The 23,526-nt window shown below is 42.0% G+C and overlaps 1 protein-coding gene across 3 annotated transcripts in view; it reads right to left on the bottom strand.

The window, feature by feature from the left end:
- The window catches only part of LDHC (lactate dehydrogenase C), a 39,746-nt gene extending 18,283 nt beyond the window's left edge, over window positions 1-21,463 (bottom strand). Inside the window, exons 1-4 of one of the 3 annotated variants that reach the window (NM_002301.5) lie at window positions 21,319-21,463; window positions 20,938-21,072; window positions 18,480-18,597; window positions 3,871-4,044 (exon numbers count right to left, since the gene is read on the bottom strand). In NM_002301.5, coding sequence (NP_002292.1) covers window positions 3,871-4,044; window positions 18,480-18,597; window positions 20,938-21,063 — 418 coding nt within the window. In that variant the 5' untranslated portion in view covers window positions 21,064-21,072; window positions 21,319-21,463. Of the gene's footprint in view, window positions 1-3,870; window positions 4,045-18,479; window positions 18,598-20,937; window positions 21,073-21,318 lie in introns of those variants that run through there. The other 2 variants (NM_017448.5, XM_047426934.1) reach the window with 2 other exon arrangements.

Here is a 23,526-nt window from a genome sequence, read left to right as displayed (position 1 = left end):
TTGCCTAGCACACTGTCATCAGGTTACCCAAAGTTAAGACAAAGGAAAGAATCTTAAGAGCTGTGAGACAGAAGCACCAGGTAACCTATAAAGAAAAACCTATCAAATTAATAGCAGATTTCTCAGCAGAAACCCTACAACCTAGAAAGGATTGTGGCCCTATCTTCAGCCTCCTCAAACAAAACAATTATCAGCCAAGAATGTTGTATCCAGTGAAACTAAGAATCATATATGAAGGAAAGATACAGTCATTTTCAGACAAACAAATGCTGAGAGAATTTGCCATTACCAAGCCACCACTATAAGAACTGCTAAATGGAGCTCTAAATCTTGAAACAAATCCTGGAGACACATCAAAACAGAACCTCTTTTTTTTTTTTTTATTTCCTTTTTTTGAGATGGAGTCTTGCTCTGTTGCCCAGGCTGGAGTGCAGTGGCATGATCTCAGCTCACTGCAACCTCTGCCTCCCAGGTTCAAGCAATTCTCATGCCTCAGCCTACCGAGTAGCTGGGACTACAGGTGCCCACGACCATGCCCAGCTAATTTTTGTGTTTTTAGTAGAGACAGGGTTTCACTATGTTGGGCAGGCTGGTCTTGAACTCCTGACCTCAGGTGATCCGCCCACCTTGGCCTCCCAAAATGCTGGGATTACAGGTGTGAGCCACTGTGCCTGGCCCAGAACTTCCTTAAAGCATAAATCACACAGGACCTATAAAACTAAAACACAAGTTAAAAAGCAAAAACAAACATACAAACAAAAACCCAAAGTACACAGGCAACAAAAAGCATGATGAATACAACAGTACCTTGCATTTCAATACTAACACTGAATGTAAATGGCCTAAATGCTCCACTTAAAAGATAAAGAACTGCAGAATGGATAAGAACTAATCAACCAACTATCTGCTGTCTTCAGTAGACTCACCTAACATACAAGGACTCACATAAAGGGGTGGAAAAAGGCATTTCATGCAAATGGACACCAAAAGCGAGCTGGGGTAGATACTCTCATATCAGACGAAACAAACTTTAAAGCAACAGCAGTTAAAAGAGACAAAGAGGGACATTATATAATGGTAAAAGGCCTTGTCCAACAGGAAAATATCACAGTCCTAAACATATATGCACCTAACAATGGAGCTCCCAAATTTATAAAACATTTACTAATAAACCTAAGAAATAAGACAGACAGCAACACAATAATAGTGGGGACTTCAATACTCCGCTGACAGCAATAGACAGGTCATCAAGACAGAAAGTCAACAAAGAAACAGTGAATTTAAACTATACCTTGGAACAAATGGATTTAACAGATATATACACAACATTTCATCTAACAACCACAGAATACACATCCTATTCAACAGCACATGGAACTTTCTCCAAGACAGACCATATGATAGGCCATAAAATGAGCCTCAATAAATTTAAGAAAATTGAAATTATATCAAGCACTCTCAGACCACAGTGGAATAAAACTGGACATCAACTCCAAAAGGAACCTTCAAAACCATGCAAATACATGGAAATTAAATAACCTGCTCCTGAATGAGCATTGAGTCAAAAATGAAATCAAGATAGAAATTAAAAATTCTTCTAATCGAATGACAGTAATGACACAACCTATCAAAACCGCTGGGATACAGCTAAGGTGATGCCAAGAGGAAAGTTCATAGCCCTAAATGCCTACATCAAAAAGTCTGAAAGACCACAAAAGACAATCTAAGGTCACACCTCAAGGAACTAGAGAAACAAGAACAAACCAAACCCAAACCCAGCAGAAGAAAGGAAATAACTAAGATCAGAGCAGAACTAAATGAAATTGAAACAAAAAAATACAAAAGATAAATGAAACAAAAAGCTGGTTCTTTGAAAAGCTAAATAAAATTGATAGACTATTAGCAAGATTAACCAAGAAAAGAAGAGAGCAGGCCGGGTGCAGTGGCTCACACCTGTAATCCCAGAACTTTGGGAGGCGAGGCAGGTGGATCACCTGAGGTCAGGAGTTTGAGACCAGCCTGGCCAACATGGTGTAACCTCGTCTTTACTAAAAATACAAATACAAAAATTAGCCAGGCGTGGTGGTGTGCACCTGCAGTCCCAGCAACATGGGAGGCTGAACAGGAGAATCGCTTGAACCTGCGACAAGGAGATTGTGGTGAGCCAAGGTCATGCCACTGCACTCCAGCCTGGGACAGAGCAAGACTCCATCTCAAAAACAAAAAAACAAAACAAAACAAAACAAAAACACACACAATGATATTGGATTGGCTAAAATGTATTTTATTTTATTTATTTATTTTTATTTTTATTTTTTGAGACAGAGTTTCACTCTTGTTGCCCAGGCTGGAATGCAATGGTGCGATCTCAACTCACCACAACCTCCACTTCCCAGGTTCAAGTGATTCTCCTGCCTCAGCCTCTTGAGTAGCTGGGATTACAGGCATGTACCACCACACACCCGGCTAATTTTGTATTTTTAGTAGAGATGGGGTTTCACTACGTTGGCCAGGCTAGTCTTGAACTCCTGACCTCAGGTGATCCACCTGCCTTAGGCTCCCAAAGTGTTGCGGGGATTACAGGTGTGAGCCACCACGCCTGGCCTGGATTAGCTAAAATTTAAAACTGTTTTTTTTTTGTTTGCTTTGGTTTTTTTTTTTGAGACAAGGTTTCACTCTGCCACTCAGGCTGGAGTGCAGTGGCACAACCACAGCTCACTGCAGCCCAGATCTCCCAGGCTTATGCAATCTTCATACCCAGCTTTTTTACTTTATTTTATGTACAGACAAGGTCTCCCTATGTTGCCCACACTGGTCTCAAACTCCTAGGCTCAAGCGATCCTTCTGCCTCAGCCTCCCAAAGTGCTAGGATTACAGGCATGAGCCACAATGCCCAACCTGTTTGGTAATTTCTGATAGAGTTAAACATATACCTACCATATAACCCACGTATGTTACTCCCAGGTATTTATCCAAGAGAAATAAAGACATATGACCACACAAATACTTACATACAAATTATGATGTTAGTTTCACTCATAATAGCCCAAAACTGGAAATAACCTCAATATGTTTCAACAGATGAATAAACAAAATAGCATTTTAAATGTATAAACAATGGCTGGGTGCAGTGGCTCACATCTGTAATCCCAGCACTTTAGGAGGCCAAGGCGAGTAGACTGCCTGAGCTTAGGAGTTCCGGACCAGACTGGACAAAATAGTGAAACCCCACTTCTACCAAAAATATGAAAATTAGCTGGGTGTGGTGGGACATGCCTGTGGTCCCAGCTACTGGGGAGCCTGAGGTGGGAGGATCAATTGAGCCTGAGGTGGGAGGATCAATGTGAGGCAAAGGTTACAGTGAGTCAAGATTACGCCCTGCACTCCAACCTCGAGTGAGACAGAGGTTGAATGACACCCCATCTCAGAGTGAGACCCCATATCAAACACACAAACAAAAAAATGTATAAACAAAAGAATACTTTGGCACTAAAAAAGGAACAATATGATACACTCACTAATATGGATGAATCCCAAAATAATTATGCTGGGTGAAAGAAGTCAGGCAGAAAAAATTACATTCAGCATGATTTCATTCATATAAAATTCCAGAAAATGGGGCCAGGGGTGGAATGAGAGATGAACTGCAAGGAGGCACAAGAAAACTTTCAGAGGTAGCTGAAATGTTTTGTATCTTGATCATGGCGGTAGTTTCATGAGTGATTACATTTATCAAAACTCATCGCGTTATATACTTTAAACGAGTGCAATTTATTGTATATAAATGTTAACTCAATGAAGTTGATTCTTTTAAAGGAATGGTATGGAAAGATCATCCTTATGCAATAGAATGGAAGAGAGAAGACTCACCTGGATTTGAAACAACAAGAATTTTACAATCAGGACTATAATGGACTATGGCAGGAATGATTGATTTCATTATAGCCACATTACGTTGGACCAGGGCAAGGCGAGTTTCTCCCTCCTGCTGCCTTGCACCTGCTGTGACAATAACTATTCTGGAGTTTGCAGATACACTGTAATCTAAAAAGGAAACAAAATACTATATTTGGATCAACATTACCATAACCACTGTGCCTTAACTCCTTAAAACTCTATTGTATGTTCTTAGTATTATATTAAAGTATCCATGTACCTTTATGTCTGGCATTTTGGAGATGAACGGACTTTTCTAACCTTTATAATCTGAAGGAAGCCTTGTCACTATGACTTGCCAAATTTCACATAGCTACCTCAAAAATTTTTATAACAATAGAAACTAACATCCCCTTTTGCCCAAATTCCCCTGTGTTATGAAGGCCCAAGGCAATGAAAGTCAGCTCTCTGCCTTCTTAGAAACACCAAAATGAGGCCAGGCGCAGTGGCTCACGCCTGTAATCCCAGAACTTTGGGAGGCCAAGGCAGGCGGATCACGAGGTCAAGAGATCAAGACCATCTTGGCCAACATGGTAAAATCCTGTCTCTACTAAAAATACAAAAATTAGCTGGGAGTGGCAGCACATGCCTGTAGTCCCAGCTACTTGGGAGGCTGAGGCAGGAGAATCGCTTGAACCTGGGAGGCGGAGGTTGAAGTGAGCAAAGATCGCGCCACTGCACTCCAGCCTGGCAAGACTCTGTCTCAAAAAAAAAAAAAAAAAAAAAAAGACCAAAATGAATAGACTTAGAACTCTGAGAATTTATGTGTCTGTTTCAGGAGTCTAAGAGTGAGAATGTATTTACTTCTAATATTGTAAGGGACTGGGTTTGAAATCACAAACAAGTTCTTGACCCACCCAAGAAAATAAACTACGTACTAAATGACCAGTTGTTTCACCTGTTGAATACAATGTCACTACTATGAAGCACTTACTAACTCATACTGGTCTTCTTTTTTTTTTTTTTTTCTGAGATAGTGTCTCACTCTGTTGCCCAGGCTGGAGTATGGTGGTGCCATCTCAGCTCACTGCAACGTCTGCCACTCAGGTTCAAGAGATTCTCCCACATCAGCCTCCTGAGTAGCTGGGACTACAGGCATGCACCATCACACACAGCTAAATTTTTATTTTTTGGTAGAGACGGGGTTTCACCATGTTGGCCAGGCTGGTTTTGAACTCCTGACCTCAACTGATCCACCTACCTTGGCCTCCTAAAGTGTTGGGATTACAGGCGTGAGCTACCACATGTGGCTTCATACTGGACTTTTTTAAAAAGCACTATATAGCTGAAGATTATCTACCATGTGGATGTAAAAAATTAGTTAAAATATCCTCTATATCTATCTCATCTCGACTTTTCATGTTCTTTTAGAAAATGAAATCTAATAGCTGGGCGTGGTGGCTCACACCTGTAATTCTAACACTTTGGAAGCTGAGGCTGGCGGATCACTTGAGGTCAGGAGTTCAAGACCAGCCTGACCAACATGTCTCTACTAAAAATACAAAAATTAGCCAGCCATGGTGGCGTGCATCTTAATCCCAGCTACTCAGGAGGCTGAGGCAGGAGAATGGCTTGAACCCAGGAGGCGGAGGTTGCAGTGAGCCCAGATCATGCCACTGCACTCCAGCCTGTGTGACAGAGTGAGACTCTGTCTCAAAAAAAAAAAAAAAAAAAAAAAGAGAGAGAAAGAAAGAAAAGAAAATGAAATCTACCTAATTTTTAAAATATCACATCTTCATTTATGGTGATTCTTGTATCTTTCTAATCCAAAAGAGAAGATAACTTATGAAATATGAACACTGTTGTTTTTCCTGCCCCAATAAAGATTTTAACTAGAAAGGCAAACTTAGGAATTAGATGACATTTCTGGCCAGGCACAGTGGCTCACACCTGTAATCCCAGCACTTTAGGAGGTAGAGATGGGTGGAACACTTGAGGTCAGGAGTTCAAGACCAGCCTAGCCAACATGGTGAAACCCCATCTCTACTAAAAATACAAAAATTAGCTGGGCATGATGGCACGTGCTGTAATCCCAGTTACTCAGGAGGGTAAAGCAGGAAAATCACTTGAACCTAGGAGGTGGAGGTTGCAGTGAGCCGAGACTGTGCCACTGCATTCCGGCCTGAGTGACAGAGCGAGACTCCATCTCAAAAAAAAAAAAAAAAAATCTGGCTCCAAATCATCTTTACTAGCTTTATGTCTTATTTTTATGTCAGATTTTCCAGGTGCCCTGATCCTGTTAATGCCATCATTTCCTTACCTGTTATTTATTTTTCTTTGTAAATATAACCACAAAGAGACCATAAACTACAGTGGTCTGGAGCAAAAGCTCTGAGGTCTAACTGCCAGTATTCCCAACTTTGCCACTTACTAGCTGTGTAACCATGGACAATTACTTTGCCTACCCCTCTAACTCTCACTTCCTCATCTACAAGATCAAGCTAATAGCGTTTTTTTGTTGTTATTTTGTTTTTGTTTGTTTGTTTTTTTGAGGCACAATCTTGCTCTGTCGCCCAAGCTGGAGTGCAGTGGTGCAATCTCAGCTCACTGCAACCTCCGCCTCCCAGGTTCAAGCAATACCTCGCCTCAGCCTCCCAAGTAGCTGGGATTACAGGAGCCCACCACCATGCCCGGCTAATTTTTGTATTTTTAGTAGAGACGGGGTTTCACCATCTTGACCAGGCTGGTCTTGTACTCCTGACCTCATGATCTACCCGCCTCAGCCTCCCACAGTGCTGGGATTATAGGCATCAGCTACCACGCCCAGCCGCTAATAGCCTTTTAAAAAATATGGTTCTTAAGAAGATAACTCAGTGAGTTAATATACATTAAGTACTCAACAGGGTGTATTAAATGTTCAATAAATGTTAGCAATTAACATTATTATTATATTAGTCAAGTACTTCTTCGAATACCAATTCCTCTGCTAGATATCCCCAAGTATTTATCATATCATTCATAAATGATATGTGGTTGTATTTTGAAAGAAAAATAAACAACAGGTAAGGAAATGATGGCATTAACAGGATCAGGGCACCTGGAAAATCTGACATAAAAATAAGACATAAAGCCATCATATCATTCATTATTTATCATATCATTCATAAATACCACTTTCTTCACAGAATTTTTTTATAGCACTTACTGCCTATAATTATGAAAAAGTCCTTATAAGAGCATATGTTATCTTCTCATGGTTATGTCTTATTTAAACCCCTAACTTAATCATAAGCACCATAATATTAATAATAGGTTCTGATTTCACTGATTTCACATTACTCCCTTCTTTCCACAAATATCTTTTTTTTTTTTTTTTTTGAGACGGAGTCTTGCTCTGTTGCCCAGGCTGGAGTGGAGTGGCGTGATCTTGGCTCACTGCAACCTATGCCTCCCTGGTTCAAGTGATTCTCCTGCTTCAGCCTCCCAAGTATCTGGGATTACAGGGACCCGCCACCATGCCCAGCTAATTTTTGTATCTTTAGTAGAAACGGGCTTTTGCCATGTTGGCCAGGTTGGTCTTGAACTCCTGACCTCAGGTGATCCACCTGCCTCGGGCTCCCAAAGTGCTGGGATTACAGGCGTGAGCCACCACACCTGGTCCATAAATATCTTAGCAGCCTCTATGTTCCATGCACCTGGACTCACTGTACATATGAGATAATTTAAAATATCTGTGGAGCTGGGCATAGTAGTCCCAGCTACTTAGGAAGCTGAATCAAGAGGGTCACTTGAACCCAGGAGTTAGAGGCTGCAGTGCACTGTGATTGTGCCCATGAACAGCCATCTCTAAACTAAAAAGTAAAAAAAAAAAAAAATTGTGGCTAATCAACGATGTTCCATCATTGCTCTTCCCCATTAGACCTCACAATATGTATTTTCTTTTTTCTTTTTTCTTTTTTTTTCTGAGACAGAGTCTCGCTCTGTTGCCCAGGCTGGAGTGCAGTGGCGCGATCTCGGCTCACTGCAAGCTCCGCCTCCTGGGTTCATGCCATTCTCCTGCCTCAGCCCTCCTGAGTAGCTGGGACTACAGGCGCCTGCCAACACGCCTGGCTAATTTTTTTTTATTTTTAGTAGAGAAGGGGTTTCACCGCGTTAGCCAGGATGGTCTTGATCTCCTGACCTTGTGATCCACCCACCTCAGCCTCCCAAAGTACTGGGATTACAGGCGTGAGCCACCACGCCTGGCACAAAATGTATTTTTAAAATGTTCTATTGTGAAATATTTCATATACAATAACATATAAGAAATATACACTCAATTTATAAAACATTAAACAACTCTGTTAAAACCACACAAAAGGCCAAGCACAGTGGCTCACACCTGTAATCCCAGCTACTGGGGAGGCTGAGGCACGACAATCACTTGAACCTGGGAGGCAGAGATTGCAGTGAGCTGAGATCGTGCCACTGCACTCCAGCCTGGGTTAACAGGGCAAGACCTAGTCTCTAAAATATAATAATTTTTTAATGAAAAAAATTAAAAATATTAACTCTGCCAAAACTGCACAATAAACATCTAGTTCACATTTGTCCTCTGGAGGCTGAGGTGGGAGGACTGCTTGAACCCAGGAATTCAAGAGTTTGAGGTTGTGGTGAGCTATGATCACACCCCTGAACTCTAGCCTGGGCAACAAAGCAAGACCCTTTTTCAAAACAAAAAAAAAAATCCCCAAATTTATAGAACATTGTCAACACCTTGGAAGCCCCTGCATGCCTCTAACAGATTATGTCTATCAACCACTCTTGTGGCTGGCAAAAAATCACATTACTTTTAAAAAAGCTTTACTACCTATGCATGTTTAAATTACATATTAATTGTTTTTTTATTTGTTTTGTTTTGTTTTGAGATGGCTCTATCACCCAGGCTGGAGTACAGTGGCACGATCTCAGCTGACTGCAACTTCCGCCTCCCAGGTTCAAGCGATTCTCCTGCCTCAGCCTCCCGAGTAGCTGGAATTACAGGCACGTGCCACCACACCCAGCTAATTTTTGTATTTTTAGTAGAGACAGGGTTTCGCCATGGTGGCCAGGCTGGTCTGGAACTCCTGACCTCAAGTGATCCGCCCACCTCGGCCTCCCAAAGTGCTAGGATTACAGGCGTCAGCCACCATGCCCAGCATTACATAGTACATTTTATCTGTTTTTGAATCATAAGGCATGTATTCCCTTAACTAAATATTATGTATCTGATATTTATCCATGTTAATGTGTGTTCCTGTAGTTTCTTCATTTTCACTGCTGTGCAATATTACACTGCATAATTTTACAATTTAGTACTGGGATTCATTGACTTGTTTACAGTTTGGGGCTACTACAATACGTTCTTGTACATGTATCCTAGTGCGCATGTGCAAAAGTTTTCTTGGGACTATATTTAGAAGTGTAATTTCCAGGTTGTGGGATATGTTCATGTTCAACTTCACCAGGTAATGACAAACTCGTGGGGTTTTTTTGTTTTTTTTTGAGACAGAGTTTCATTCCATGGCCCAGGCTGGAGTGCAGTGGCGCGATCTAGGCTCACTGCAACCTCCACCTCCTGGGTTCAAGCGATTCCCCTGCCTCAGACTCCTGAGTAGCTGGGATTACAGGCGCGCACCACCATGCCCGGCTAATTTTTGTATTTTTAGTAGAGACAGGGTTTCACCATGTTGGTCAGGCTGGTCTCAAACTCCTGACCTCGTGATCCGCCCACCTCAGCCTCCCAAAGTGCTGGATTACAGGCGTGAGCCACCGCACCCGGCCAAACTTGTTTTTTTAACTGGTTTTACTACACTCCTATATGCTGTGTGTGAGAGCACTTATTGTTCCACATCCTCACAAACACTTACTATCACACTTCTACCAATCTAGTGGGTGTGTAATGGTATATTGATATGGTTTTTATTTTCCTGTGCTTGGTTATTGAGTTTTCTCCCCCTATTTATAAGCCACTTGAGTGTCTTCTTTTGTAAATTATTGAAGGCTTTTCTCATTTTTCTATTGAGCTGTGCATTTTTTTTAGGTATTATATTAATACAAGTATTTTTATTCTGAACACTATTCCTTTGTTAGATGTTAACACTGCAAATATCTTCTCTCAGTTTATGGCTTGTCTCTTTGCTCTTTTATATTATATTTTTGTGAACACTCTTAACTTTGTATTCTTTATTGATTATGCTTTTTGTGTCTTTGTGTTTAAATCAGTCCCTACCTTCAGGTCATAAGGATATTCTACGTTATCTTCTAAAGGAAATTTTGAAGTTTTGCTTTTCACATTTTAGTCTTCAACCAACCTGGCTTTGATTTTTGTGTGTGGTATCAGGTAGGGTGTGTGTGTGGTATCAATTTATTTTTTCCATAATGATAACTACTGCCATAAGAACAATTCTAAAGGTCCATAAATTTCCTATTTATCTAGAAAATCATCAGTGTTATATAACAATCTTTTATATTGTCTCCTAATTAAGTCTCTGCACATAATTAGTGCTTTATAATAAGTCTTGAATTAGCTTGGAATGTCCAATAATAACAAAACCTGCGGGGTTTTGACTAGGATTGCATATAATCAATATGGGAAGAATGGATAGCTTACAATATTGAGACTTCTATGAACAAGGAATATCACTTCATTTATTTATTTTACTCTTGAGTAGCTGGGACTACAGGTGTGTGCCATCACGCCTGGCTAATTTTTTGTATTTTTAGCAGAGACAGGGTTTCACCATGTTGGCCAGGCTGGTCTCGAACTCCTGACCTCAAGGGATCCACTTGACTCGGCCTCGCAAAGTGCTGGGATTACAGGCATGAGCTACTGCGCCCAGCCTCCCCTCATTTATTTAGATAATATATTCTTTGAGTTTTTTGTTGTTTTCTTTTTTTTGGTTTTGGTTTTTTTGAGACATGTCACCCAGGCTGGAGTGCAATGGCGCAACCTCAGCTCACTGTGACTTCTACCTCCCAGGCTCAAGCCATCCTTCCACCTCAGCCTCTTGAGTAGCTGGGACTCAGGCACCCATCAACACGCCCAGCTAATTTTTGTATTTTTGGTAAAGACATGGTTTCACCGTGTTTCCCAGGCTGGTCTTAAACTCCTCCACTCAAGCGATACTCCCGCCTCGGCTTCCCAAAGTGCTAGGATTACAGGCACCACACCCAGCCTGACATTTAACATCTTCTAATGAGGTGGTATGTTTTCTGCACAAAAGCTCTTATGCCAGGTATTTCCTATTTTTATGATATTGTAAATAATAGCTTTAGATTTCTTTTGCCTGGTTTTGGCATGCAGAAATACAATGGATTTTTTTTTTTTTTTGAGATGGAGTCTTGCTCTGTTGCCCAGGCTGGAGTGCACTGCCACAATCTCGGCTCACTGCAACTTCCACCTCCGGGTTCAAGTGATTCTCCTACCTCAGCGTACCAAGTAGCTGGATTACAGGTGTGCACCATTACGCCTGGCTAATTTTTGTATTTTTAGTAGAGACAGGGGTCTCACCATGTTGCCCAGGCTGATCTCAAACTCCTGGCCTTAAGTGATCCACCACCTCAGCCTCCCAGAGTGCTGGGATTACAGGCATGGGCCATCGTGCCCGGCCTTGATTTCTGATTACTAACTTTGTCTGTCATCCTTGCTAAACTTTTAGTTTTATATGCTGTCCTATTCTTATATTTCTATCTTCTTTTTAATTCATTAGGTATGTTTATCTAATATTACTTCTTTCTCTTTACTAATTTTTTTGTTTTTTTGTATCAGTCTTGCTCCATCGCTTAGGCTGGAGTATAGTGGCAGTGATCTTGGCTCACTGCAACCTCCACCTGCCGGGTTGAAGTGATTCTCCTGCCTCAGCCTCCTGAGTAGCTGGGACTACAGGTGTGCACCACCACATGCAGCTAATTTTTGTAGTTTTAGTAGAGACAGGGTTTCACCATGTTGGCCAGGCTAGTCTTGAACTCCTGACCTCAAATGATTCGCCCGCGTTGGCCTCCCAAAGTGCTGAGACTACAGGCATGAGCCACCATGCCCAGACACCTTTAAGAATTTAAAGGTTTCTGTTCTTTTGTTAGCTGTCACAGAAGTTAGATCATGTCATCTGTAATCCCAGCTGAGTGAGGCAGGAGGATCATTTGGGCCCAGGAGTTTGAGACCAGCCTGGGCAACATAGCGAGATCCCATCTCTGTGTTTTTTGTTTGTTTTGAGATGGAGTTTTGCTCTTGTCACCCAGGCTGGAGTGTAATGGCATGATCTCTGCTCACTGCCACCTCCGTCTCCCAGGTTAAAGCGATTCTCCTGCCTCAGGTTCCTGAGTAGCTGGGATTATAGGCATGCATCAGCACGCCCAACTAATTTTTGTATTTTTAGTAGAGATGGGGTTTCACCAGGTTGGCCACGCTGGTCTCAAACTCCTGACCTCAAGTGATCTGCCTGTCTAGCCTCCCAAAGTTCTAGGATTACTGGCGTGAGCCACCACATCCGACCTACACCTCACCTCTTTAAAAATTATTTAAAAATTTGAGGCCAGCCATGGTGGCTCACTCCTGTAATCCCAGCACTTTGGGAAGCCGAAGCGGGCAGACCACCTGAGGTCAGGAGTTAGAGACCAGCCTGGCCAACATGGTGAAACCCCATGTCTTCTAAAAATACAAAAAATTAGCCAGGCTCAGTGGTGTGTGCCTGTAATTTCAGCTACTCGAGAGGCTGAGGCAGGAGAATCACTTGAACCTGGGAGGTGGAGGGTGCAGAGAGCTGAGATCACACCACTGCACCCAGCCTGGGTGACAGTGTGAGACTTTGTCTCAAAATAAAAATAAAATATAAAAATTTGAAAAAGAAAAAGAAATTACAACGTGCATTTTTAACTTATCAAAGTTCAAAGTTAATCACCACACTTCCTGCTTCCCTAATGACACAGGAAACTTAGAACACTACTTCATTCATCACTATCACCCCTCGCCCGTATATTTATATGCTATATTCAAAAATTTTTTAATCCCCCAAGACTACAGTTTTATACAATTGATATTTATTTAGATTTGCCTTCATATTTACCATTTTCTCTGTCCTTCATTTTTTGTCTTGCATCACAGATCTTGTATGTGAGATCACTTTTCTTTTGCCTGATATATATACTTTTGTGTTTCCTTTAGGGAGGGCCTGACAGTAATTGTCTCAGTCTGTTTCTGAAAACACCTTCATTCACTCTCCTTTTTTTTTTTTTTTTTTTTTTTTAAGAGACAAGATTTCACTATGCTGCCCAGGCTGGTCTCAAAGTGATCCTTCTGCCTCAGCCTGCTACCAGGCCCAGCTTTGTCCTTGTTCTTGAAAGATGTTTTTGCTGGGTAGATTCCAGATTGACACTTACTCCTCCCTCAGCACATTAAAAATATTCCATTGTCTTCTGGTTTCACTGCTGCTATTGTCACCCTCTCCCTTTTCTGTAGGTAATTTATGTTCTCTCTGACAATTTTTAAGAACTTCTTTTTGCCTTTAGTGTTCTCTAATTTCACAAGAATATGTCCAGGTAGGGATATTATATTTATTCTTCTTGAGATTATTTGGCTTCTTAAATCTGTGGGTTGATATTTTTCAGTGGTCTTCAAAAATGCTGAATCATAATCTCTTCAAATGTGATTATTCTATCCTCCATGACTCTTAACCTGTTATATTTTCTACTTCTTGTCTTCTGGGTAATTGCCTTAGATTTGCCACTTCTCTCTTCAAATGTGTCTAATCTATCATTGTATCCATAGAGGTTGTTGTTGTTGTTGTTGTTGTTCTAAGACGGAGTCTCACTTTGTCGCCCAGGCTGGAGTGTGGAGTGGTGCCATCTCAGTTCACTGCAACCTCTGCCTCCTGGTTCAAGTGATTCTCTTGCCTCAGCCTCCTGAGTAGCTGAGACTACAGGCATGCACCACCACACCCAGCTAATTTTTGTATTTTTAGTAGAGACAGGTTTTCACCATGTTGGCCAAGCTGATCTCCAACTCCTGACCTCAACCAATCCACCTGCCTCACCTTCCCAAAGTGCTGGGATTATAGGACTGAGCCACTATGCCTGGCTCCATTGAGTTTTTCACATTTATAAGTTATATTTTGTTCCTTTTTTAATGTTTTTATAGCCTCCTGTCTCATGCTGATATTTTCAAGTCTGTTCTTTATTTTTTATGTAGAATAATCATATTAATTTTATAATTTGTGTTTGATAATTTTTAAATCTATAGTGGCATGTTTCTGTTATGCTGGTTCTTGCTCATGCCTTTTCTTGCAGATTTAATTATTTCTATTGTGAGATGTTCATTTTCTCTGGAAGTTTATTTGTGGAAGTTCTTTGAGGCCTGAAATAAAGTGAGTTTCCTCTAGCTACCATCTGATTGCTTAAGGTTTTCTGGAATTCAAATAAGAGCCAGCTTGTGGTTCCAAATCCTTAGCAGGTATATTCCCCCACTAAAGTGTCTAAGACATTCAATTTTACTTGTAGTCCCCAAAGGCAGGGAGAGAATAATTATTTGTAGATCATCATTACATTAACGGTATAGTTCTGGCAATGGTAAACTACTGTTGGCAGACAAGCGATATCTGGTCTACCACCTGTGTTTGGTAAATAGAGTCTCACTGGAGCCACACCCACTTGCTTATGTATTATTGTCTGTGGCTTCCTTTTGCACTGTAAGAGCAGAGTTGAGTAGGTATAATAGGAACTACATAGCTGGAAAAGCCTAAAATATCTACTATCTGAGTCTTCCCAGAAAAAGTTTAGTAACCCCTGGCTTAGTCCACTAGGGCACCAGGTTTGTGGGGTGATCTCCCCAAATCCCCAAGCTCTGTCTCTGGTCTCCTAAATTTTATGAGTCAGTGAAAACCAAAATTGATGTCCACCATGTTTGGCAAATGCTATCAGGGTAAAAAGAGCAATCAGAGCTGCAGTGCTCTGCTTAACTCTCTGGTTTTCTCACTTCATTCAGTACCTGTTGTGAAAATGCCTTACTTTTTTGTTAAGAACATATTCTTTCTCAAGGATTGATTTTTTTATTTCATATTTTATGCAGGAGTTTTCTCATTTACAGCAAAAGATTAATCCAGGTATTTATCCTGCCATATTATTAGAAATTGAAAGTTGAATATGTTTTCAAGTATTTTAAAATATGGCCAGGTGCGGTGGCTCACACCTATAATCCCAGCACTTTGGGAGGCCGAGGCAGGTGGATCGCTTGAGGTCAGGCATTCGAGACCAGCCTGGCCAACATGGTGAAACCCCGTCTCTACTAAAAATACAATTAGCTGGGCATGGTGGTATGCACCTGTAATCCCAGCTGCTTGGGAGGCTGAGGCAGGAGAATCTCTTGAACCTGGGAGGTGGAGGTTGCAGTGAGCAGAGATCACACCACTGCACTCCAGCCTGGGTGACAGAGCAAGACTCCATCTCAAAAAATAAAATAAAATAAAATAGTAATACTCTTTTAATTTGACTCCATTTAACCAATCCACCAAATTAACTGATACAAAACATACTGATACCCCAGACATACTAAACACTCTCAACTAGTAAACTACTATCTAGTATGTCTATGTACTTCTGCTCATTAGTTGCTACATATCAAGAATTAGTCATATTTGTACCCAAATATAATTATGTATTTATTATTATATATATAATTAAAGATAATATAAGTCACTAAATACCAGTGTGAAAGAAATGTTTGGTAAAGGTAAACACCACATTCAACATTGAGATTTAGGGACAGGAAGATATGAATATACAGAATGTATCAACTGACTTGGTAATGTTTTATTTCTTTTGCTGAGTGGTAGATGCACTGATGTTTGTTATATTATTATATATATTTTAGCAATAGGATCTTCCTTTGTGCCCAGGCTGGAGTGCAGTGATACAATCATAGCTCACTGCAACCTTGAACTCAAGCAATCCTCCTGCATCAGCCTCGCAAAGCTAGGGCTACAGGCACAATGGAGACAGGGTCTCACTATGTTGCCTCTGGCTGATTTCAAACTCCTGGCCTCATGCGACCCTCCTACATCAGCCTCCCAATGTTACATTATTGTTAATCTCTTTTTCTCTATCAAGTATTCCATAATTAATATTAAAAATAATTGTTTCTATGAAAAGTAAGTTAATCCCTGGGAAGACATTAAAAGCAAATTGTTTAAAAATTGTCCTTCTAGGTTTGAGAAAGGGATAAAAATGGGTTGGGCGTGGTGGCTCACACCTGCAACTGCTTGAGCCTAGGAGTTTGAGACCAGCCTGAGCAACAGAGTGACACCGCATCTCTACAAATAATAATTTCTTAAAAATTAGCTGGGTGTGGTGCTGTGCACCTATAGTCCCAGCTACACAGAAGGGTGAGGTGGGAGGATCACCTGAGCCTGGGAATTCGAGGCTGCAGTGAACCATGATTATGCCACTGCACTCCAGCCTGGTGAAACTGTCTCCAAAAATAAAATAAATAAAGTCATAAAATTTAGTAAGGTTTTATAACCAGACTGCTTCATGAACACTTTTAAATTTCTTGTAGTACTTTAAAGCAATCTAAATGATCATTATTGATGTGCTTTCAGAAAGACACCACCTGTTGTTCCAGGTACTTGCCAGGCTGAGGCAGGAGGACCCCTTCAGCCCAGGAGTTCAAGACTGTAGTGTGCTAAGACCATGCCTATAAATTGCCACTCCAGGCCGGGTGCGGTGGCTCACGCCTGTAATCCCAGCACTTTGGGAGGCCAAGGCAGGCGGGTCACCTGAGGTCAGGAGTTCAAGACCAGCCTGGCTAACGTGGTGAAACCCTGTGTCTGCTAAAAACACAAAAATTAGCCAGGCATGGTGGCACACACCTATAGTCCCAGCTACTTGGGAGGCTGAGGCAGGAGAATCGTTTGAACCTCGGAGGTGGAGGTTGTGGTGAGCTGAGATTGTACCACCACACTCCAGCCTGGGCAACAGATCAAGACTCTGTCTCAAAAATAAATAAGTAAATAAATAGCCACTCCAATCTGGGCAACATGGAGAGGAGAGGAAAGGAAAGGATGGAGGGCTGGGGAGGGTAGGGGAGGTGAGTAGAGGGGAGAGGATCAGAGGGGGAAAGGGGAAGAGGAGGAAAGGAGGAATGAAATGAACGGAGAAGGGAAAGGGGGAAGGAAGGGGAAAGGGAAAAGGAAGGGAAGGGGAAGATGGAAGGGAAGGGGGAAGGGATGGGAAGGCACTGCAAAACTCTAATCAGCTGAGCCGTACTCAAAGGCCTTGCCCTACAACCAGAAAATCAGCAAATGAACTTTTATCTACATGTGTATGTTTTAGGTCGATATAAAATGTTTATCATGGCTCTTTCTAAGAAGCATGTTTAAATTAGGTAACTGCCTTCAATCTCAATCATGTTAGATAAGAGGGCTTCTAGTAGAAAGTATATCTGTTGAATCACATTACCAAACAGTGCACCATATACTTTAGTGTATGATAAAATAATTATGTTTCCTAATTATCTGAGGCTTCTTAGTTGGTCAACAGATGATGCTAACACCAATGAGGCCAAGTTCTAAATTTCTTATGTTCTATGGCCTCATGCTATGCCTTGAAACCTGGTTCACTATAAACATAGAAAGAAAACTAAAGAATATGGATAAATGTATTAATAATATTACAGAAACTCTTCAAGATTGTATATTCTTGGGAAAATATATAAGACAAAATGACAAGCTTAAAAGCATTTATACATCAGTTATGTAAAGAAAACAAAAGCTTAGAAAACCTACATAAAGTCATTAATAGAAGAGATTCAATTTTTCTTTATACTTTCTGTTTTCCAAATATGCTCCAATTATATCGAAGTGTTCTTTTTAAAAAAATTAACTTTTTAAATTATATGGCCCGGCTGGGCACCGCAGCTCACACCTGTAATTCCAGCACTTTGGAAGGCCGAGGCAAGTGGATCACCTGAAGTCAGGAGTTCGAGACCAGCCTGGCCAACATATAGTGAAACCCCATCTCTACTAAAAATACAAAAATCAGCGGGGTGTGGTAGCGCATGCCTGTAATCCCAGCTATTCAGGAGACTGAGGCAAGAAAATTGCTTGAACCCAGGTGGCGGAGGTTGCAGTGAGCTGAGATTGTGCCACTGCACTCCAGCCTGGGCAACAGAGCGAGACTCCATCTCAAAATAAATAAATAAATAAAAATAAACTATATGGCCCAATCACCTGAGGTCAGGAGTTCGAGACCAGCCTGGCCAACATGGCAAAACTACGTCTCTATTAAAAATACAAAAATTAGCCAGGCGTGGTGGCGCATGCCTGTAATCCCAGCTACACAGGAGACCGAGGCAGGAGAATCACTTGAAGCTGGGAGGTGGAGGTTGCAGTGAGCCAAGATCGCGCCACTGCACTCTAATCTGGGTGACAGAGTGAGACTCTCTCAAAAAACAAAAAAAATTGATCAACTAAATTAAATTATATGGCCCAATGGCATGGTGCTATTTTTAATTTTATATTTATTGACATCTGTTTGGTAAAATTTATTACTTTTTTAAAAAGCTTTGAAAATAACTTTATAAAACTAAAATTAACCTTTTCCAGAAGTAATCTTTGAAGTACTAAAGAAAAGACTGCCATGCTGAAGATCCATCATTTCTCCCTTCAGTTTGTCCAATGCAACATCAACAAGGGCAAGTTCATCAGCCAAATCCTAAAATATACAAAAGTTCTGAATAAAATGTTCCTACTTAAGTTTTAGGAGAATAAGAAGAATTTTCATGTGGCTACTTGATAATTAAAGGAATCTCATATTTTAATAGGGAAAAATGATATAAAAATAGTTTTTCAATGAGCCTGGGTGACCGAAAGTCAAGGTAAGTAAATATTAAGATGTAGCAAAAATTGTTTGACTTCATATAATTGTTAGAACTTTTTAGAGCTGGGTGTTTTTTGTTTTTGTTTTTTTTTGCCATTCAGATAACAGTTTGAAACCAAGGAAAATAAAATGATTTCAAAGGCTTTTATTATATTTAGCCTTTATTTTTGTGTTTTTTGTTTTGTTTTGTTTGAGATGAAGTCTCACTCTGTCGCCCAGGCTGGAGTGCAGTGGCACAATCTCGGGCACTGCAACCTCCGTCTCCCAGGTTCAAGCAATTTTCGTGCTTCAGCCTCCCGAGTAGCTGGGATTACAGGCGCCCGCCACCATGTCCGGCTAATTTTTGTATTTTTAGTACAGACGGGGTTTCACCATATTGGTCAGGCTGGTCTCAAACTCCTAACCTCAAGTGATCTACCCACCTCAGCCTCGCAAAGTCCTGGGATTACAGGCCTGAGCCACTGCGCCCGGCCAGGATTTTATTATATTTAACCTTAACCCTAATTTCTGAGTTGGCTAAAGCTGCTTTTAGTATGCGTCGTTATGGCCCAAACAGGAAGGTAACCACCTCTGATGAACACTTATTGTTTTCATCTGTCTAGTGTCCCTTTTTCTGGTAATAGAATTTCTCTTTTCCATGGGAACCCATTCCATATGTTTCAGTGCAGTACAATTAACATTGGTTTTCCAAGCTTAGGGTAGATGGGCATAAAACCAGACCTAGCCAATTGTTCCATCCTTTCCTTCTGGTCACAGAAATCAGTTCATAAGTGGACATATGGCCCAGGTATAAGAAACAAGCATGTCTATGAAGTTTGAAAATGGAAGACGGAAGATTACATCTCACTTTTCTTTGGAATCATAAGCTCTAAGAATAACATGCAAATCTAAGAACATTAGTAAGGACTGTAGAGTTGGAGAAAAAACAAGAATCTAAGAACAAACTGTACAGCCATCTTTACCACCACATAGAAAGGCTCTACGAATTAAGCCAACAGAGAAAATCTAAACCAAGATATACAAAGACTATGTCTTGATATGTGTGAACTTCAGAATCCGGTAGTACCTGAAGCAGTTTTGCCCTATTTCCAGTTACATGAACAATATTTCGTCTTTTTCTGCTTACCCTAATTTAAACTGGGTTTTTGTCACATGTGACAGAGTACGGAACTATATACAAGGAGTGTATTCATTCAGATTTCAATAGCCAGATTCCAAAAGCGAACAGTAAGGGAAAGAAGTAAAAGTCCCTACTTAAGGCCAGGCGTGGTGGCTCATGCCTGTAATCCCAGCACTTTGGGAGGCTGAGGCAGGCGGATCACGAGGTCAAGAAATCAAGGCCATCCTGGCCAACATGATGAAACCCCGTCTCTACTAAAAATATAAAAATTAGCTGGGCGTGGTGGCACATGCCTGTAGTCCCAGCTACTCAGGAGGCTGAGGCAGGAGAACTGCTTGAACCCGGGAGGCAAAGGTTGCCGGGAGCCGAGATCCTGCCGCTGCACTCCAGCCTGGCAACAGAGCGAGACTCCGTCTCAAAAAAAAAAAAAAAAAAAAAAGAGAGAACAATAAACACTGGGGACTCCAAAAGCAGAGAGGGAGGAGGGCACAAGGGTTAAAAACAATACCTATTGGCAGCCAGGTGTGGTGGCTCATGCCTGTAATCCCAGTACTCTGGGAGGCCGAGGCAGGCGGATCACTTGAGGTCAGGAGTTCGAAACCAGCCTGGCCAACATGGAGAAACCCCATCTCTACTAAAAATATAAAAAATTAGCCAGGCCTGGTGGTGCATGCCTGTGGCCCCAGTTATTCAAGAGGCTGAGGCAGGAGAATCGCTTGATCCCGGGAGGTGGAGGTTGCAGTGGGCCAAGATCGCGCCACTGCACTCCAACCTGGGTAACAGACAAATCCTGTCTCAAAAAAAGAAAAAGAAAAGGAAAGTCAGAAAAAAAAAGAAAGGAAAAGAAAGAAGAAGTTTAAAAAAAAAGGAAAAGAAAGAGAGAAAGAAAAAGGAAGGAAGGAAGGAAGGAAGGGAGGGAGGGAGGGAGGGAGGAAAGGTCAAAGGATACATAATTGCTTTCAAGGGATTAACCTTGCAACCCTGAATACATCGACATATACAACACTCTGAAGTGCTCACTTGATTTTCAGCCACAGGATGGGCTTCTCACTCACCTTCAGTAAGATACTAATAGCACAAGCCATGCCTACGGCACCAGTTCCAACAATAGTAATTTTACACTGGGAGTTTTCATCATCCTCAATTAGCTTCTCAATTAGCTGCTCCTTGACAGTTGACATTTGGAGAACCTGATAGGGATAATGCAATTTCATTGGATTAACCACACTGAACATCTAAGAAACTACCTCTTCAGTTTGCAGAATGTTGGAGCCGGGGATGGGGGGAAGCCAAAGAAAGAATTTCCTGGTCAAAGGATGCGGGGAGGGTAAAGCAAGGCCCAGTCTACCAGGCAATGGGAGGGCTGGGGCACCAGCGGGCTTTTGGATTTCTCCCTGCCCCCAGCCACCACTTTCACCCCAGCACCACACGCTCACAAATGCTTTGCTTGGCGCAATCAGTACAGATGACCCACAGGGACAAAGCACCACCTTTGAAGGAAGGCACAGAAGTGACACCAGAAAAATACACCAACGACAGTTGAGGCGCTAAGCCCGTCGACGGTTGCCCTCCGTGCGACTCGAGACACGCACGTTCCCCCGCTCGGCTCTTATGCGTCAGCACGCAAGCTCCGCCCCCCGCCGGCCCAGGCGCGGGCATGGGGCGTCTTTTCTGCCCTGGAGCGCAGTGTGGGTGGCGGCGGTCCAGATCACCGAAATGCTGATGGGAAGAATTCTAGACTGGCCCAAAGAGTGTGCAAGACGGGGATATCCATGCATTGTTTGCAGGATTTTAAAAAATTATTAACTTCTGTAACTTCAGGACTGAGTGCTGAAATAAAGTTAGAATTTCTCTTGAGAGAACAGAGGGTGGTAATGAAACGCAAAGACGCGAAGGATGCTTTCAATTTACAGCAAGAAATTGTTAATATTTATAACTCATGGCCGGACGCGGTGGCTCACACCTGTAATCCCAGCACTTTGGGAGTCCGAGGCAGGTGGATCACCTGAGGTCAGGAGTTTGAGAACAGCCTGGCCAACATGGCGAAACCCCGTCTCTACTAAAAATATAAAATTAGTCGGGCATGGTGGTGCATGCCTGTAGTCCCAGCTACTTGGGAGGCTGAGGCAGGAGAATCGCTTGAACCCAGGAGGCGGAGGTTGCAGTGAGCCAAGATCGCGCCACTGCACTCCAGACTGGGCAACAAGAGAGAAACTCCATCTCAAAAAAAATTTACATATATATTTTTTTTTTTGTGAGAGAGATATATATCTCACAGAAGGGGACACAACCTACTCCATCTTTTGTAGAGTATTTGCATTTGAACCTTTTTCAAAATCCAAAATATAATTTATTTTTCTTATAATAGCCTGTAGTGTTGTTATTGTTGTTGTTTTTGAGACAGAGTCTCACTCTGTCGCCCAGGCTGGAGTGCAGTGGCACAATCTCAGTTCACTGCAACCTCCGCCGCCTGGGTTCAAGCAATTCTCCTGCCTCAGCCTCCCAAGTAACTGGGACTACAGGCGTGCGCCACCACGCCCGGCTAATTTTTGTATTTTTAGTAGAGATGGGGTTTCACCATGTTGGTCAGAATGGTCTCCAACTCCTGACCTAGTGATCCGCCCTCCCAAAGTGTTGGGATTACAGGCGTGAGCCACCGTGCTGAGCCACCGTGCCCAGCCGCCGGGCAAATTTTTTTGTATTTTTTTGTATTTCACCTTGCTGGCCAGGCTGGTCTCGAACTCTTGACCTCAAGTGATCCACCCACCTCGGCCTCCCAAAGTGCTGGGATTACAGGCGTGAACCACCGCACCCAGTCAGTATTTGTTTTCAATATGGTTCAGATTATGCAATAACCCTGCTTTAAACTCTTCCGTGGCTTTCCATTACAGGTAGAGTAACCCACTTTTACCACAACCTAGATCTTCAAGATTTGGCCTCCTACCCCCACTTCCCATATCATCTCAGGACACTCAATACACTTCCTTCCAACTAGGCTTTGGACAGCTTTTTTGGATCAGGACTTTTTGCTGTTCTTTAAACCAAGAAAGCTCTTTCCCCAGCCCTTCTCAAGGTTAATTCCTCATTTTCAGCTTTGCACATACATACTCTGGCTTTCCTTGACAAATGTCAACTACCATCATTTCCTGTATATCTCTCTCTTATGGCACTTTTCTCAACCAGCAACTAGCCTGAAGCTAGAGGCCTCCTATAGCAGACAGGAGCAGCAACCACTTGGTCCTATACCTCCACAGCAACCTCATTTATCCCCGGGCTGAGAGGGAGATTGCTGGCCTGGATGGACTGGAAATTTAAGCTCTACACCTGCCTCAGGCCCCTGGCGGCCAAGGAAGGTATCAGCTTGGTAGTGGCCAAACTGATGCTAGATGACTAGAACTGGCTCTTCATCCATGCCTGCCCAAATACTCCAAACTTACTTAACATTTTGCTTACTTGATTGCAGTAACTTTAGAACCAAAATTTGTCTTTATTTATTCTTGTACATTGCAACATTTACCAAAGCATAGTAGGTACTCACTAAAGAATTTTTGGGCCAGACATGGTGGCTCACTCCTGCAATCCCAGCACTTTGGGAGGCCGAGGCTTCAGCCCAGGAGTTCAAGACCAGTCTGGCAACATAGGGA

Source organism: Homo sapiens, chromosome 11 (genome assembly GCF_000001405.40).
Source record: "Homo sapiens chromosome 11, GRCh38.p14 Primary Assembly".
Lineage (NCBI taxonomy): Eukaryota > Metazoa > Chordata > Mammalia > Primates > Hominidae > Homo > Homo sapiens.
Note: the sequence above shows the minus strand (reverse complement) of the source record. Positions and strands in the feature narration are given on the sequence as shown.